At 35.1% G+C, this 16,939-nt stretch overlaps 1 non-coding gene across 7 annotated transcripts in view; it reads right to left on the bottom strand.

Annotated features, from left to right (window-relative positions):
• The window catches only part of ATXN8OS (ATXN8 opposite strand lncRNA), a 64,318-nt gene that overhangs the window by 13,439 nt on the left and 33,940 nt on the right, over positions 1-16,939 (bottom strand). For 3 of the 7 annotated variants that reach the window (NR_185834.1, NR_185836.1, NR_185835.1), the window contains one exon: positions 10,872-10,945. This is a non-coding gene — a non-coding RNA (ATXN8 opposite strand lncRNA). Of the gene's footprint in view, positions 1-8,791; positions 10,946-16,939 lie in introns of those variants that run through there. The other 4 variants (NR_185840.1, NR_185838.1, NR_185839.1 and 1 more) reach the window with 2 other exon arrangements.

Below are 16,939 nucleotides of genomic sequence, written 5' to 3'. Positions count from 1 at the left end.
ATTACAGGCAAGGGCCACCACGCCTGGCTAATTTTTGTATTTTTAGTAGAGACAGGGTTTCACCATATTGGCCAGGCTGGTCTCAAACTCCTGACCTCGTGATCTGCCTGCCTCGGCCTCCCAAAGTGCTAGGATTACAGGTGTGAGCCACCACGCCAGCCTCTGCTCTTCTATCTTAAAGAAGTGTGGAATAAGCCTATCTCAAGGCTTTTCCTAGCGGCTTTACACACAATCTCCTCTTTAGAGAATCTGGTATTATACAGATTAACTCTCTTACTGAATGAATGCATCTGTGATTAATGCACATTTTGCTTACTGAATGGGATTCTCATGGCTCAAATGATTTTTTGCAAGCTTATTTCCTGCATGTACTAATTGGAAATTTTAAATCATGGATAGTTTGCACCCATACTCCATTTTATTAATTTAGTGAAAATATGTATTTTTTGTCTTTCCTGTAGGCTTTCTTTCAGGATCCATGCTTCCCCTATTCCATGCAGAAGATCAAAGATTAAGTTAGGCCAGTTGGAGTCAGGGAACTGTCTGCTGTCAGGTGGAATTTTTCTTTTTTAAATCTGTTTAGAATCTTGACTTCTGAGCACAATATAAGGTTCTCCGTGTACCAGTATTCCCCAACTATGTGTTAAGCTGCGTTCAATAAGAGAGAATGAGCTCCACACTCAGAAATGCTGAAAGTCAGAAAATAAAGAGTGAGAGATCTAAGAGTGTTTTTGTTTTTTTTTTTAACTGCTGGTAAAAGAAGTGCAGGAAACAAGCAAATCTCTGGATATCTTAGTCATGTGAGTCCAGTTAATTGGCTGTCTTCTTTCCTTAGGATAATCTAGTTGCAATTTGTGGTTTAATTCTTGTAAACAATGTATCCTTGCTGAAAGAGTCACATTCTAGATTTGTATTTACTTTTTCAGGATTTTCTCCTTTTATGGTTTAATGAATATGAAAAAAAATTATGTTCTTTATTTTTAAACAGAAAGAGCTCCTCCTATCAGTTTGTCAAAACTGTTTCTTGAGACACAACATTCTATTTTAATAATAGATATAGTTCATGTAAAGGCTTTCCTTTGTTTTTTATCCTCATTCATGATATAGTAAAATATATATCTGATCCAGTTTCTAAATTTTAAAATAATGTTGTTACGAGCCTTTAATCAAAAAATCGGTATGAAAACTTTTAGGAAGGTAGAACAATTCATCAGATTGCATTAGCATTTTCATTGGTTTATTAAAGTGACAATTCTTTTGTCTCTATTATTATATTTATATCTACGGTATGTTATTTCCTAATTTTAAAATGTGTTTTGAGACTTTTTCATTTACGGGTAACTAGAAAAATGTAATACACAAAGGGCATCACAATATCATGCTGTTGGCCAGCTGATTTCCTGTCTTCCATGACTACTGATGGAAGTTTCTTTGGGCTTAAGGAGGTAGCTGAAAGTAAAAGCAGAGAGAGCTTATTGGTAAATCAAATTAAAAAAAGTTGAAGACCTTGGAAATAAAAATTTGAAGCTAATTTGATAGTGTGGTATGTCCTTTTTCAATGATGCTTCACTTATCAGGATAGTTTATGAAAACTCATGCTTCTCATAGAAAACATTATAACAAAGCTTGAATTTGTCACTTCTTCAGAATACTAATAATATTTATTTCACTGGCTCAAGTTTTCAAAAAAAAGAGTAACGTGTTGTGAATGATTAATACACCTTAATTTTACTTTATATACTTAGGAATTTATCTTCTCAGAAAATATATAAATACATTAGGAGCTTATTTTCTTTATATGTAGAAATTATCATAAAATATAATATTATTTCTTATAGTTTTAATCTTCAGAAATGTTTAACCATATACAATATGGAATAAAAGTAAAATGATTATAGTGTATGAAACATTTTAGTGGTAGATTTCCAGAAAAGTTATACATCTAATTTCCAAATCACTTCTCAAATCTGCTAGAATTTGAAACACAGAACAGAATAATATACTTGGAAAGTGAATTTAACCAATATAAACACACACACACACACACACACACACTCATACCCACCCATACCCACCTGTGCTCACTCAAGTCTGCTCTTGAAAGAAAATCAAAAGAGTAAGAAAGAAGTGCCAGTTATAGATGCTGAAAAAAATCATTTTTTTTGTATTATTGCATAGTCCAGGCTGTTTATGAGCAAATATCAAAAAATTTCTTTCTGTTCATAAAGTTAGGAAAGCCAGTTTTTTTATTGTTAGTTAAAATATGGCAGTCTCATTTGATAACCTATACATTGCATTGACAGGAATAAACAAGCATAAAACAAAAAGGCATATAGGAAAACACAAATAGAATCTTTAAAATAGCATGGGTAAGCATTTATATAAGAGAAAGAAGCAGAAAAATGAGGAGTAGCAAGAAATAAAACATACTTTTTTTTCTGGTGGTACAATATATGACAGAAAGTTAAGATGGAATCCTTTTTTTCTTTTCATTTTTTTTTTGTCTCAGTTTTGGCAAAAAAAAAAATGGAATATTGTAAAGTATCCTCAGATCCTAAACTGAAGAGGTGACCCACCTATGAGAAGCATATTATGACTATGAAATAGGTTCTGCTATCTTTGGTTTGCATGAAAATCGAAGATTGAAACATTCTGTTAGGAGAGATAATTTCAGAATTCTGGCCTTGATCTTCTTTTTGGGAATGGAGAAAGGTGTTTCTCCCTTTTCTTAAAGCAAATAGAGAGAAGCTTTATGATAACCATTTAACAGGCTTTTATGTGTTCCCTGAAGTTCGAGAGACACTGGAATACTAGTTGATTCTGGCCAGGAGAACTCTTAATATGGCAATGGAATGTAAACCAGCAGCACAAGGATGGTGTGTTTCTATGTCCTATATATTGGGTATGTTTCTTATGGACCAAATTGAGAATTGGGCAATCTATCTATGGTTATCCTAAAAAAGATCTCGCCTTAAAAAATGGCTACAGGTTTAAAAGAGGAGCAGATTTCTTGAAGCTTGAGGGCTGAGAAGATAGCAGAAACTTCCACCACAAGGAACATGTTTGTATCAAGGAAACTATGATTGGATCAGATATTAGAGAGCAAGACCCATCAATTGCACGATTACCATGAGAAGGTACTGTTGCAGGATTCAGGAGGACGAGAGAGACCTCGGGTTGAAACAGGAGAATCTTTATTGAATGCACTCAGGCCCAGCTGACTGATGTCCAAAAGACTGCGCCCGGAACAAAGACAGTACTTGACTTTTATACACACTTCACAAAAGGGGGTTGGCTAGCTTGAAGCAAGCTTACAGTGGGGTGAAAGCAGGGATACAGAGGCAAGACAAAGACAGGATTTCACATGACCACTGCCAAGCAATCCAGATGTCCATTATCTAGGTTTGCCTGGGCACCGGCTTATCCTATAACCTTCGCTATGGTGCCCAGGCAGCTGTAGTTCAGGCCTACTCAGGTGTCTCATGACCTTTGTTGTACTTCTTAGATAAAACAGAATACTTGAAGTCACTAGTTACAGAGAACAGGAATCTATAAACTCATTTCATAAAACAAAGTAAAATTTGTTTTTCTTCTCTCTTTGTTGAGGGATTGCTGGGAGAGTCTCTAGAGCACATTAGATGATATTATCAAGACATTTCCTGGGTCTGGGCTGTGCCTATTGCTGACTTTGGGACAAGTCAGCCTAATACAGGACAACTTATTTCACTTTCTTTTAAATTTTATCTTTCTTTAATTTCCCGCCTCAGTACCAACACCAAAAGATATGTCTTCAGTCATATAAGAACCATTCAGCACTTTATTATTCCACAATCACTTATCCCACCTCCTCCAACCCTGATGAACCAAAAATAGCAGATGCAGAATTAGGTAGACAGAGAAGGAAAGAAAGAAAGAAGTAGCAGCCCCTCTGCAGGCTTTATGACCTGAGGTAAGATGGAGTTGGAATTGGGTAGAAATGTTAACCTGAATTTTAAAACGAAGCTTTAACAGCAAACAAAGGAGGTTTATTTAATTACTGAAAAGAGATTCTACTTGTGATTGACATGGACTGGGAACAAAACTTTATTCAATTCCCCAACCCCACATGCCTCTCAAAAATTTAGAGCATTATTTTTAAAATATGTGGAGAAATAAAACTGTGTGTGCTCGCCCTCAACTAAGTCTCACTTGTTCAATATGGTTAAAATGTAATGCCTAGGATGTCACATGACAGAAATAGATGAGGCTCTAGAGACCATTTGAGAATGAAATTGAAGGAATGTAGGGGGACAATTAGAAGAGTAATAAGTACAGGCCAGGTGCAGTGGCTCATGCCTGTAATCCCAACACTTTGTGAGGCTGAGGTGGGCAGATTGCTTGAGTCTAGGAGTTTGAGATCAGCTTGGGCAACATGGCAAAACCGTGTCTCTACAAAAAATAGAAAGAAAAAAAATTGGACAGGTGTAGTGGCAGGTGCCTGTGGTCCTAGCTGCTTGGGAGGTTGAGGTGGGTGGATCGCGGGAGCCTGGGAAGTCAAGGCTGCAGTGAGCTGTGACTGTGCCCCTGCACTCCAGCCTAGGTCACAGAGCAAGACCCTGTGTGAAGAAAAACAAACAAAAAAGAAAACCAACAACAATAAAGAAGAGTAGTTCATACATATTGACAACACATTATGCTAATTCCAAAATTTTGAATAAGAATTGTTTATTTTTATTTATTTTTATTTTTTTGCAGTCTCTCACTGTTGCCCGGGCTGGAGTGCAATGGTGCGATGTTGGCTCACTGCAACCTCCATCTCCCGGGTTCATGCGATTCTCCTGCCTCAGCCTCCTGAATAACTAGGATCACAGGCGCACACTGCCATGCCCGGCTAAGTTTTTTGTATTTTTAGTAGAGATGGGATTTCACTATGTTGGCCAGACTGGTCTCAAACTCCTGACCTTATGATCTGCCTGCCTCAGCCTCCCAAAGTGCTAGGATTATAGGCGTGAGCCACTGCACCCAGACAGGATCGTTTTCAATATGATGTCAAGTTTTATCTCCCTTTTGACAAAAAGGATGCCAAAAAATTGTATTACATTATATGCTTGCCTACTCCATTCACTCTTTAGCTACTAATTTCCAGTAATGTCTCTGCTCTCAGAGATGTGCTGAACTCACTTAAATATTGTCATAAAATGTACTTTTTTTCTTTCTCTCCCGGTCTACATCTCTGTTATGCATTCGTATGCCTTATAACAGTCTACACACACACACACACACACACACACACACACACACACACAGTTTTTTCTTATTCATTCTCTAACTCTCTATTTCTCCTTCTTTTGACTTCTGATTAGGCTCCTTCATATTATTTTATAAATGTGGTTATTGGTTGGTTTTCCCTTTTCTTTGTTTGCATGTGCTTAGTAATCTAGTAATCTCTGCCTTTGACTCCATATAAAACGGACTACTATGCTGCTGGGAAAAATAAATGAGTAAATAATATGAAAATACATAAATAAACCAACTTCTTAATCTTTTTGACTACTCAGTGATAAATAATCACTTCTGGAGATGAAACCCAGAATATTTGAAACAGAGATAATAACTACTGCTAAATTAAAAGACGTGAGAGGCTTCCTTAATCTCACTTGTTTATCATAAGACATTTATTGATCATCTCCTACATGCCAGGTGCTACACTAGGCATAGGGGCATCATGCATGATGAATTAAGTGAAAAAAAGCCCTAAATCAATGGTGCTATAGGAGCAAAGGGAGACCCAAATAACTTCAATACAACAATTAAACACACACATATACACGTGTGTGTATATATATGTGTATACATGTATACACATATACACATACATACACATATATGTACATATGTGTATATATGTATACTTGTATGTATATATGTGTATATATATGTATACATATATATGTATATATACACACACACACAGGTACAGAGTGTACAGCTGGGATAGACGATATAAAGAAAACATAAATAGTGCTAAAAGGTCAAAGTATAGGGTACTTAGATGGGAAGCTCAGAGAGTCCTTTCTGAGACTTCAAGTTCGAACTTCAAGGATAGGTAGAAATTGGCCAGGTGGAAAGAAACAGGAGCATCCCATGTGAATTCATTGTCTCAGTGAAAGCACTTAGGGAAAAGAAACTAAGAGCTTTAGAGAAGTTATAAGGAAATTATTATGAATGGAGCAGTGCATAAAGGGCAGAAGTAAGTGACATAAGATGACAGGACGGAAACAGGTAAGCAAGGTTTAAGTTATTAAGGATTTTGTAGGTCAAGATAAAGACTATAAAATGTATGCTAAGTGTAGTAGGTGAAAACCATTGAAGGGTTTTAAACTGATGAGTGAAATGATCAATTAATGTTATATTTACTGATTTTACCTCAATAATATATCTCAAAATGATTCTATGTTTACCATTCCAGTGATCACCACGCCTAGAGTTCTAACAAATCCACTAATTCAGGTCGTTATTACTCTTCACTGGAGTTATTACGGATGACTTCTAAAACATATATAAAGTTAAATTCTTGTTGAAATACAACTTTAATCATCGCTCCCTCCTATTCAGTGACTTCCAATTAACTAAAGTATATGTTACCCTATTTCTTAGCTTGACATTCAAAGCTGTCTATTGCTGGTTTTCTTTTTTGTTTTACATTCGAACTTATGTAGTAATTATCTTGAATATCTTGTAATTTTCTACAGATTATTGACTTGCAACTAACCTTCCTATCTTTTTGTTCAAGCTGTTTCTTGTGCCTTTACTTCCTTCTTCTCTATACATTCATTTTTCTCTCCAAAGGAATATATAGCCCCATTTACAGCAAAAATAGATGAACCTGGGGGATATTATGTTGCGTGAAATAAGCCAGTCACAGAAAGACAAATACTGTATGATTTCTTTTAGATACCTAAAATAGTCTAACTCAGAAGCAGATAATAGAATGTCAGTTGCCGGGGGAAGGGTGGAAGAAGAAATGAAGAATTGTGCAATGTATAGAAAGTTTCAGTTCTACAAGATAAATAATTTCTGGAGATCTGCTGTTCAACATGGTGTCTGTAAGTTAATAATACTGTATTGTGCACTGAAAAATTTAAAAGTGTAGCTCTCATGTTGTGCTTTTACAGCAACAACAAACAAAAGCAAAAAACAAGCCCAAGCAAGTGTTTGGAAATGATAGATATTTTTATTACCTTGATTGTAGCGATGGTTTCACCAGTGCAAGCACATGTCCAAACTCATCAAATTGTATACACTAAATATGTGCAGATTTTTGAGTATCAATCACACCTTGATAAAGCTGTTTTTTAAAAAAATATAGTGCCAATGCCTGCTTTGCCACGAACCTTCTTTGAGCAACTTAGTAAAATGCCAACTCTATTTTTCTTTCTTTTAATGTGAAATGCACATAGTTTTTTAAATAAAATGAATATGACAAGTTTTGTGGTAGTGAAGCATGGCTTTGCACCCAGGTGAATAGTGTGCAATGTAGTGTTATAATTTGATAACTCCTGTAGTAGAAATATACTCCATCAATGTGTGAGCTCAAAGAGGAATCACTAAATACTTCCTAGAGGAGTCAGTAATTACTTTAGAAAGATGTGCTTATTAGGCCTTTCAACAGACACTAGAGTATTTACATCAAATTGGGCCAAAGTCAATCTAGAGAGAAGGAATGTCTGTTTAATGTCTTACCACTTCTCCTAGAGTATATATACCCAGACATTGGGAGCTGGGTCTACATCATTTTTCAGTAGCCTGCAGTCTCCTACCTTACACATAGAAAACTATAATCTCTTTCTGGTCTAACATCTTCAATTATAGACATGGAAGCCTGGAAAGTTCATGAAGTCTTTCTTGTTACACCCTGTAATATATTCCTAGGCAATTGTTGTTACCCTTGTTCAAACCCAAGCTCATCACTGTCTTCAAACAAACTTGACCATACTTCCTCTTAGAATAGAGAAGTTATTGGGGAAAACAATCTCCACTCTTGATATTATCTTCCTTCAGTAGGCCCATCCATTATCATGGTAGTCTTAGCCCTTCTCTGTCACTTCCTCACTCATGAATAGGAGGAGTAACTTCATTGAATATGAATTTAGGATAGGAAGGCTGGCAAGAATGGTTCTGCTCTTTCAATTCTTCTTTTACTTGGGAGCTTAGCTACTGCAGAAAGTGTCCCTTTTTCTCTGTTCTTAACATCACTCGTGTTTAAGGGAAGACCTGAGATGTTCCTACAGAAGCCATAGAAGGTTGTCTGTGAGAAGGTAAGAAAGTCTGTCTAGTTCAGGAATTCTGTATTAGGAAAACTATTTCTTCCTTCCTCACTTCCTCTCTGCCTTCATTGTTTCCTCTTTAATTTCTTTTTTTAACTGACATAAGCAATAGTCTCCACAAGGAAAAAAAAGTTTTTGTTTGTTTATTTGATGTATCCTTCAACCCTCACTAATACCCACAGTGGTTGTTTTAATTGGAATGGCTAATCATTCCTTGCATGCCAAATTTTAGTCAGATAATGTCCCTAGCCCCAGCAGTAGCTGAAAGATTTCCAGCCTTTTCCCCGATGGCATGCTGTTGTTATTCCAGATTGCCTACTGCTAATCTGTTATGGATCATGATAATAGTGATATTCAGTAAATATTTAAGTAAATGTCTTCTGACTGCTAGTCTATAGTTATGACACAATATTATAAAATCAACATTTTTATAGCTATTTTCGTATTATGTGTGTAAAATAAGGATTCCAGGAAACAGTTTCTTCGGTAATTCTGCTCCATTCATTTTATTATTATGTTTACAATGAATTAATTTCTGTTAACACCTCACTAAATGCAACTTAATGATTGACGATGTCTCTAAATTTCATTTAATGAAGAGTAAAAATATATACATAATTTAATGTTATTACAATCCTATGTTTTCCTATAAAATGCAACAAAATGCTACATTTTACAAATTTTGAATTGAGCTTTCCATATAATCTATGATTTTGATTTTATTTTTGTTGTTTTTGAAGTGCACGAGTAATTATGAAATGACTTACATCTAACACTTAAACATGAGTCGTTCTCGTTCTTCAATACACAATTAGAAAGGGAAATTCCAGTTACCATTAGACAGAAGAAACTGCAAAACAATTAATATTAAATTATTCTAAAATGTTCACACAGTGGCATCAACATTAAATAGACTATCTCTAATTCAGACCAAAAACTAGTGTGAGGGTTTTTCATGTTTCTGAAGAAAAGCATCTAAGAAAAATATGTTCTTTTCATTCTTTTATTAGTTGAGATTCATATTTACATTCATTAAGTGTGTGTGTTAAAAGCAAATTATAGAATGTTATTCCAACTTGCATTTGAGACAGAAATTCTAAAACTATACCCTGCTGTAATCTTTACCAAAATCAGTTCTGCATAAGCCTATTGATAGAATAAAATATTATATTGGCCCTTAAAGATCACATATTTTCATTTGCTTGTTTTCTTAAATAATAAAAACAGCTACAAATTCTTGATAGAGACTAAAAACACTTGCCTAGAAAATTCTTCTAAAATGAATCTCAGGAGAAATTTTAGTTTACGAAATTTTTGACCATAGAATTTCAAATGGTAAAACAAAATAAAAATATTATTAGAGAAAAAGGAATGTAGAAAAATAATTTTTCTTTTTATTTATGAATCTAAATTAAAATTATACCCCCTTCCATCTTATTGAGTGGACCCATCTCTCAGCCTAGGAGATTCTTAAGAAACCTGAAAAATTAATTCAGGCCACAATGAGACAGGTGGTGTTGAACATGCCTCATATCCTTTCTCTTTTGGAGTTTCAACAAAACTGAACAATATTAACATTAAAAGAGAGATCCTAAGACTGACAGAAGAGATTCGTTGTATTAATAAGATGCCAAGTCCAACCCGACTCTTGATGGATAACAGGCCCTAAAGGAAATCAAAGTATTTTACAACAAAGTGTATTTCACTGACATATTTTGAAATGGCCCTGCAAAGCCATCTTTTGTGGGGAAATTTTATACTCTGTAGAGAATCCCCTTCCCTTTGCAGGTCTTTTCCTGATCCATAAAAGATTTCAATAAGAGTCTGACATCTTCTAAGGTCAGATAAGAGACATTCACCCTCTATTCTATCTGAAGCCTGCTACCTGGAGGCTTCCTTCACATGATAAGAACCTTGGCTTCCACAACTCTCTTCCAGTCTTACCTTAACTCAAGCTGACTTCAACTCTTCAGACAGAGCTTAACTCCTTCAACCAACTGCCAATCAGAAATCTGAATCCATCTATGACCTGGAAGCCACCGCTTCAAGATGTTCCACCTTTCTGGGCCAAATGAATATATGCTTTACATGTATTATGTTTTGCCTGTAATTTCTGTCTCCATAAAATGTATAAAATCAAACTGTATCCCAGCCATCTTGGGCACATGTTCTTAGAACCTCCCGAGGCTGTATCATCTTGGGCACATGTTCTCAGGACCTCCCGAGGCTGTGTCACAGGCCATGGTCCTTAACCTTGGCAAAATAAACCTCTAACTTGGTAGAGACCTGTCTCAGATATTTGTTGGTTTACTACTGAAATGTTATATAATACATTCTGATATTTAAAATCTGGATTAATGACATCTTTATTTTTGAAACATAAGGAAGAATAAATGAGTAAATCAATTTGATTCAGGTAATTGGGCACCATATATACTTCTTTTCTCTTGATTAGAATGTCAGCGGGCTCAATTTCGATCACTCATACAATTTGAAACAGGATTGGCAGTGAAGAAAACACTGAAGAGAGTAACATATGCTCCATCTATATAATGACAGACTCACCTAAGCCATTAAACGGAGGCAAATTTTGGGTTTCAACAGATTTAAGCTCCTTCGCACTTTATCCAGATATAGAACTAGGAAAAAAAAGAAAATTCCAATTAGTCAAAGTCCTTTCAAATTATACTTATTTTCTCTATAACTTTGGCAGGTTTTATAAATTCACATCATGGGAAGTTTAATTAGCATTCTTATATTAGTTTTTAAAACAGTGAACAATATTTCTTTTCTAGAACGCAAGTCCCTTTTCGAAGTTAGTTGTATTATCTTTATATAATTCATTGTCTTCAGACAATACATTGTATTTTGACTTGCTTATTTTCACTCTTTTGGAATCCACTTGTAGCTTTTCAGAAACATATCCAAAAGAAGGCACACAACACAGTCATTCCCATTTGCAAAAACACATACTTAATTTTATATGAAAAATCATTGAAAATACTGTATTTTAGACTTAATAAACATGTCTTACTAACATCAAGATATATTATGACACTTTTTTTAAAATTTCATTATTTTTATACTTTAAGTTTTAGGGTACATGTGCACAATGTGCACGTTAGTTACATATGTATACATGTGCCATGCTGGTGTGCTGCACCCATTAACTTGTCATTTAGCATTAGGTATATCTCCTAATGCTATCCCTCTTCCCTCCCCCGACCCCACAACAGTTCCCAGAGTGTGATGTTCCCCTTCCTGTGTCCATGTGTTCTCATTGTTCAATTCCCACCTATGAGTGAGAACATGCAGTGTTTGGTTTTTTGTCCTTGTGATAGTTTGCTGAGAATGATGGTTTCCAGTTTCATCCATGTCCCTACAAAGGACATGAACTCATCATTTTTTATGGCTGCATAGTATTCCCTGGTGTATATGTGCCACATTTTCTTAATCCAGTCTATCGTTGTTGGACATTTGGGTTGGTTTCAAGTCTTTGCTATTGTGAATAGTGACACAATAAACATACGTGTGCATGTGTCTTTATAGCAGCATGATTTATAGCCCTTTGGGTATATACCCAGTAATGGGATGGCTGGGTCAAATGGTATTTCTAGTTCTAGATCCCTGAAGAATCGCCACACTGACTTCCACAATGGTTGAACTAGTTTACAGTCCCACCAACAGTGTAAAACTGTTCCTATTTCTCCACATCCTCTCCAGCACCTGTTGTTTCCTGACTTTTTAATGATCGCCATTCTAACTGGTGTGAGATGGTATCTCATTGTGGTTTTGATTTGCATTTCTCTGATGGCCAGTGATGATGAGCATTTTTTCATGTGTTTTTTGGCTGCATAAAAGTCTTCTTTTGAGAAGTGTCTGTTCATATCCTTTGCCCACTTTTTGATGGGGTTGTTTTTTTTTTTTCTTGTAAATTTGTTTGAGTTCATTGTAGATTCTGGATATTAGCCCTTTGTCAGATGAGTAGGTTGTGAAAATTTTCTCCCATTTTGTAGGTTGCCTGTTCACTCTGATGGTAGTTTCTTTTGCTGTGCAGAAGCTCTTTAGTTTAATTAGATCCCATTTGTCAATTTTGGCTTTTGTTGCCATTGCTTTTGGTGTTTTAGACATGAAGTCCTTGCCCATGCCTATGTCCTGAATGGTATTGCCAACGTTTTCTTCTAGGGTTTTTATGGTTTGCAGATGACATGATTGTATATCTAGAAAACCCCATTGTCTCAGCCCAAAATCTCCTTAAGCTGAGAAGCAACTTCAGCAAAGTCTCAGGATACAAAATCAATGTACAAAAATCACAAGCATTCTTATACAACAATAACAGACAAACAGAGAGCCAAATCATGAGTGAACTACCATTCACAATTGCTTCAAAGAGAATAAAATACCTAGGAATCCAACTTACAAGGGATGTGAAGGACCTCTTCAAGGAGAACTACAAACCACTGCTCAATGAAATAAAAGAAGATACAAACAAATGGAAGAACATTCCATGCTCATGGGTAGGAAGAATCAATATCGTGAAAATGGCCATACTGCCCAAGGTAATTTATAGATTCAATGCCATCCCCATCAAGCTACCAATGACTTTCTTCACAGAATTGGAAAAAACTACTTTAAAGTTCATATGGAACCAAAAAAGAGCCCGTATCACCAAGTCAATCCTAAGCCAAAAGAACAAAGCCGGAGTCATCACGCTACCTGACTTGAAACTATACTACAAGGCTACAGTAACCAAAACAGCATGGTACTGGTACCAAAACAGAAATATAGATCAATGGAACAGAACAGAGCCCTCAGAAATAATGCCACATACCTACAACCATCTGATCTTTGACAAACCTGATAAAAACAAGAAATAGGGAAAGGATTCCCTATTTAATAAATGGTGCTGGGAAAACTGTCTAGACATATGTAGAAAGCTGAAACTGGATCCCTTCCTTACACCTTATACAAAAATTAATTCAAGATGGATTAAAGACTTACATGTTAGACCTACAACACTTTTTAGGCAAGGTGTGACACCTTGACATAGAAAGAAATTGGATTACACACTTAGAAATTTTCTTTACAAATCTACCTAGCCAAAAACAAGGCAATACTATACCCTTGAAAAAATAAATCTAAATGTATCACAGATCTAAATGTAAGGTGGAAAACTATTAAACTCCTGGAAGAAAACATAGGAGTGGGTCACTTAGATGATTTAAGTTTGGTGATGTCTTTTTAGCATTACCAAAGGCACAACCCATGAAATAATAAATTGATAAGATGAATTTCATTATAATTAAAAATTTCTGCTATGAGAATGACATTGCCAGAGAATAAAAAGACAAGGCACAGACTAGTAGAAAACATTTGGGAAAGATATATTAAAGGACTGTTATCTAAAAATATAAAAAGAACTCTTAAAACTCAACAAAAAGAAGTATCCCATTTGCATACATACTGAAAACATTGATTGAATTCAGTGGAATATTACATATTGGACTCTATGCCAGGTTATTGGGTATAAAAATGAATAGACACTTTGCAACTTCTATTCAGAAAATAAAAATAAGAAAAATAATTACTCAACTAGGTTACTAGGACAAAAAACAGGTGATATATGTAAAATTAGAGAAGTTCAAAAAATTAGTAATGACAATTAGAGCCACATTACAGGTCACGCAAAGAGGGAGAATTTCCAGGTGACCTATGAAATGGGAAGTATTTATGCGAAATGTAAACGGATGGAGAAAATTGTACTTAATAAGAGACAGTGCATATGTGATAAGCCATTTTGATAATGGGATGAAGAATGTGAAAGCCACACAGACAAATATTTCTGGGCAATAAGAAAACTAAAAATATTAAAATTTAATATTTATCAAGATTTTGTGTCAGACACTGGATTATATGCTTCACCACAGTAGTCCCAATTTATTTTCCCAAAACCATTCTGTGACAGTTTTATTTTCTGATAAAAACCAATAAAGGTATAGAATCAAATGATCTAATCTTTTAATTTACATACCGCTTTGGCTATACATAAAAACAAAATTCGTAAATAAGAATTTATTTTAATCTTCTCAATATATCATTAAATCATTTTAAAATATAGCTATTAATTTCCATGTCAACACACTTTGTGAAAAATAACTAATTTCCATACTCCCAAACTTAAATGGAAGTCTTCCAATATAAAAACTTATTTCTAGAGAGATCAAGCACTTAAACACGAATTCTGCCATAAAAATCTTCATAGAGTTCCAGTAGTATATGTATTATTTAGATTTGCTGCAATATAGTAAAAAACATTTATGTGCAGAAAATATAAAACAGAGGTGAGGTACCCACCGCTCAACCTAAGTTCTCTCTAATTAAGCACAGGTACACACATACAGGTACACACATAGGTACACTAAGATAATATAATCAGCCTCACTTATTCATGAACTTATTTCAAATTTGCAGAAAGTATATATATCATAGTAAGGAAAGAAACCTTAATTTTCATTTGACGTGAGCACAGAACACCAGCAGAGGTAGAGAAATCGGTTTATAATAAGGAACTAATTTAAATAAACCCAGTACCATTTTTTTTTAGATTTATTACTGATGCTTCAAATTTGAAAGAAGACTCTCATCATCATCAATAGGTAAATTCCTCTGGGTGATACCTCAGGGCAACAAGCATTTTAGAGGAAAGGAAAAGGAGAGGGAAATTCACTTGAGGAAATTTAGATTAAATCCAAGAACATGAAAAAGAAGGATGTAAATAGAAAAATAGAATCTAATATTTCAAATGCAAACTTGTTTTAATTATTTTATCAGCAAGTTGGTAAAGTATTTAGAAAGAGATTAAATGTAGTAACATGAACATTCTGTATTTGTAAATGTCATGTACATTTACGATTTTTTTTTTTTTTTAGACGGAGTTTCACTGTTGTTGCTGGAGTGCAATGGCGCGATCTCGGCTCACGGCAACCTCTGCCTCCCGGGTTCAAGGGATTCTCCTGCCTCAGCCTCCTGAGTAACTAGGATTACAGGCGTGTGCCACCACACCAGACTAATTTTGTATTTTTAGTAGAGAGGAGGTTTCTCCATGTTGGTCAGGTTGGTCTCAAAATCCCGACCTCAGGTGATCCTCCCGCCTCGGGCTCCCAAAGTGCTGGGATTACAGGCATGAGCCCTGCGGCCGGCCGCATTTATGAATTTACATTGCAGTGTAGTATCTATTCATATTGGTTACCTTTATAAGTATTCTTCTCCAAAAAAAAAATCAAAAGTTGGCAAGATAATCTGGTACAGAATATAAAGGACTTTTCTCCTAAGATCTAGGCTATCTAGTTAGTCAAGAACACTGTCTAATGGTGATTACAACAAGTAATTACTATTTCCATGGTGCAGTTATGAAGCCATAGACATACAAAGAAAGTTTGAGGGCACACCTTGCAGGCTAACACATATAAAGTAATACAAACATCATACTACACAATTGCTAAAACATAGCTCTAATGAGGACTTAAAGTAAACCTACATCCTTCCTGAGGGAAAGGTTTTGAATCAACTGTATTCAGCGTTATAAAAAGAGGTGACAATCTCTACCCCTTTAAAGGTAAATTAATAACAATTTTAAATGCAAATGAAATGTTAAGAACCTTGGAAGAAAAGCTTTAGCCTAAAGCCCAGTGGACTCATAACCCCAAGTTATAAATAAACTTGTTTATCACAAAGTTTTATTCAGATTTGTCTTTCACAGACTTATACTAGAAACACACAAATACCCATATTCTGTACATGTTAAAATGTGTTCAAAGCACGGTGGCTCATGCCTGTAATCCCAGCACTTTGGGAGGCCGAGGCAGGTGGATCACCTGAGGTCAGGAGTTTGAGACCAGCCTGGTCAACATGGAGAAACCCTGTCTCTTGTAAAAATACAAAAATCAGCCAGGTGTGGTGGTGTGTGCCTGTCCTCCCAGCTACTCAGGAGTCTGAGGCAGGCAAATCGCTTGAACCCGCGAGGTGCAGGTTGCAGTGAGCCGAGACCCTGCCATTGGGTTCCAGCCTGGGGAACAAAAGCAAAAAACTCTGTTTCAACAATAACAAAAAAAATTATATATACATATACATATATATGTATGTATATATGTGTGTTGGTTTTATCATACTGACCTTCTGAAACATTCTATTTTTAATATAGTATAAGTAATATTTAATAACCAGTATTCCTTATAAATAGAATACTGTTTTTGCCATTTTGATGAATGAATAAAAATGTTATAATCAGTTTCCTGGCTTTTTTGGAGTTTGAGTGGGGCAAAAAGTAACAAAACAACACTTTAAAGTTAAGAGAGTGAAATGGTTATATATATACGTACACACACACATATGTATATATACACACATATTTGTATATATAAATTTCTTACAGATTGGTTAAGGCATTATAAGTTTTCTTTTTCCCAGGGGATACTATATCCTCTTTGTATTCTGCAAATAATAAGTTCCATACACATAAAATAATGATGTTCCAAAAATATATTTGAAAGATTAAAATATTTTGCAGTTATAAATACTTTCATTATGCCAAATGTCCACTCAAACAAAAAATATATGGTAAGAATCTGTAGGGG

The sequence above is a fragment of the Homo sapiens genome, chromosome 13 (assembly GCF_000001405.40).
Source record: "Homo sapiens chromosome 13, GRCh38.p14 Primary Assembly".
Classification (NCBI taxonomy): domain Eukaryota; kingdom Metazoa; phylum Chordata; class Mammalia; order Primates; family Hominidae; genus Homo; species Homo sapiens.
Note: the sequence above shows the minus strand (reverse complement) of the source record. Positions and strands in the feature narration are given on the sequence as shown.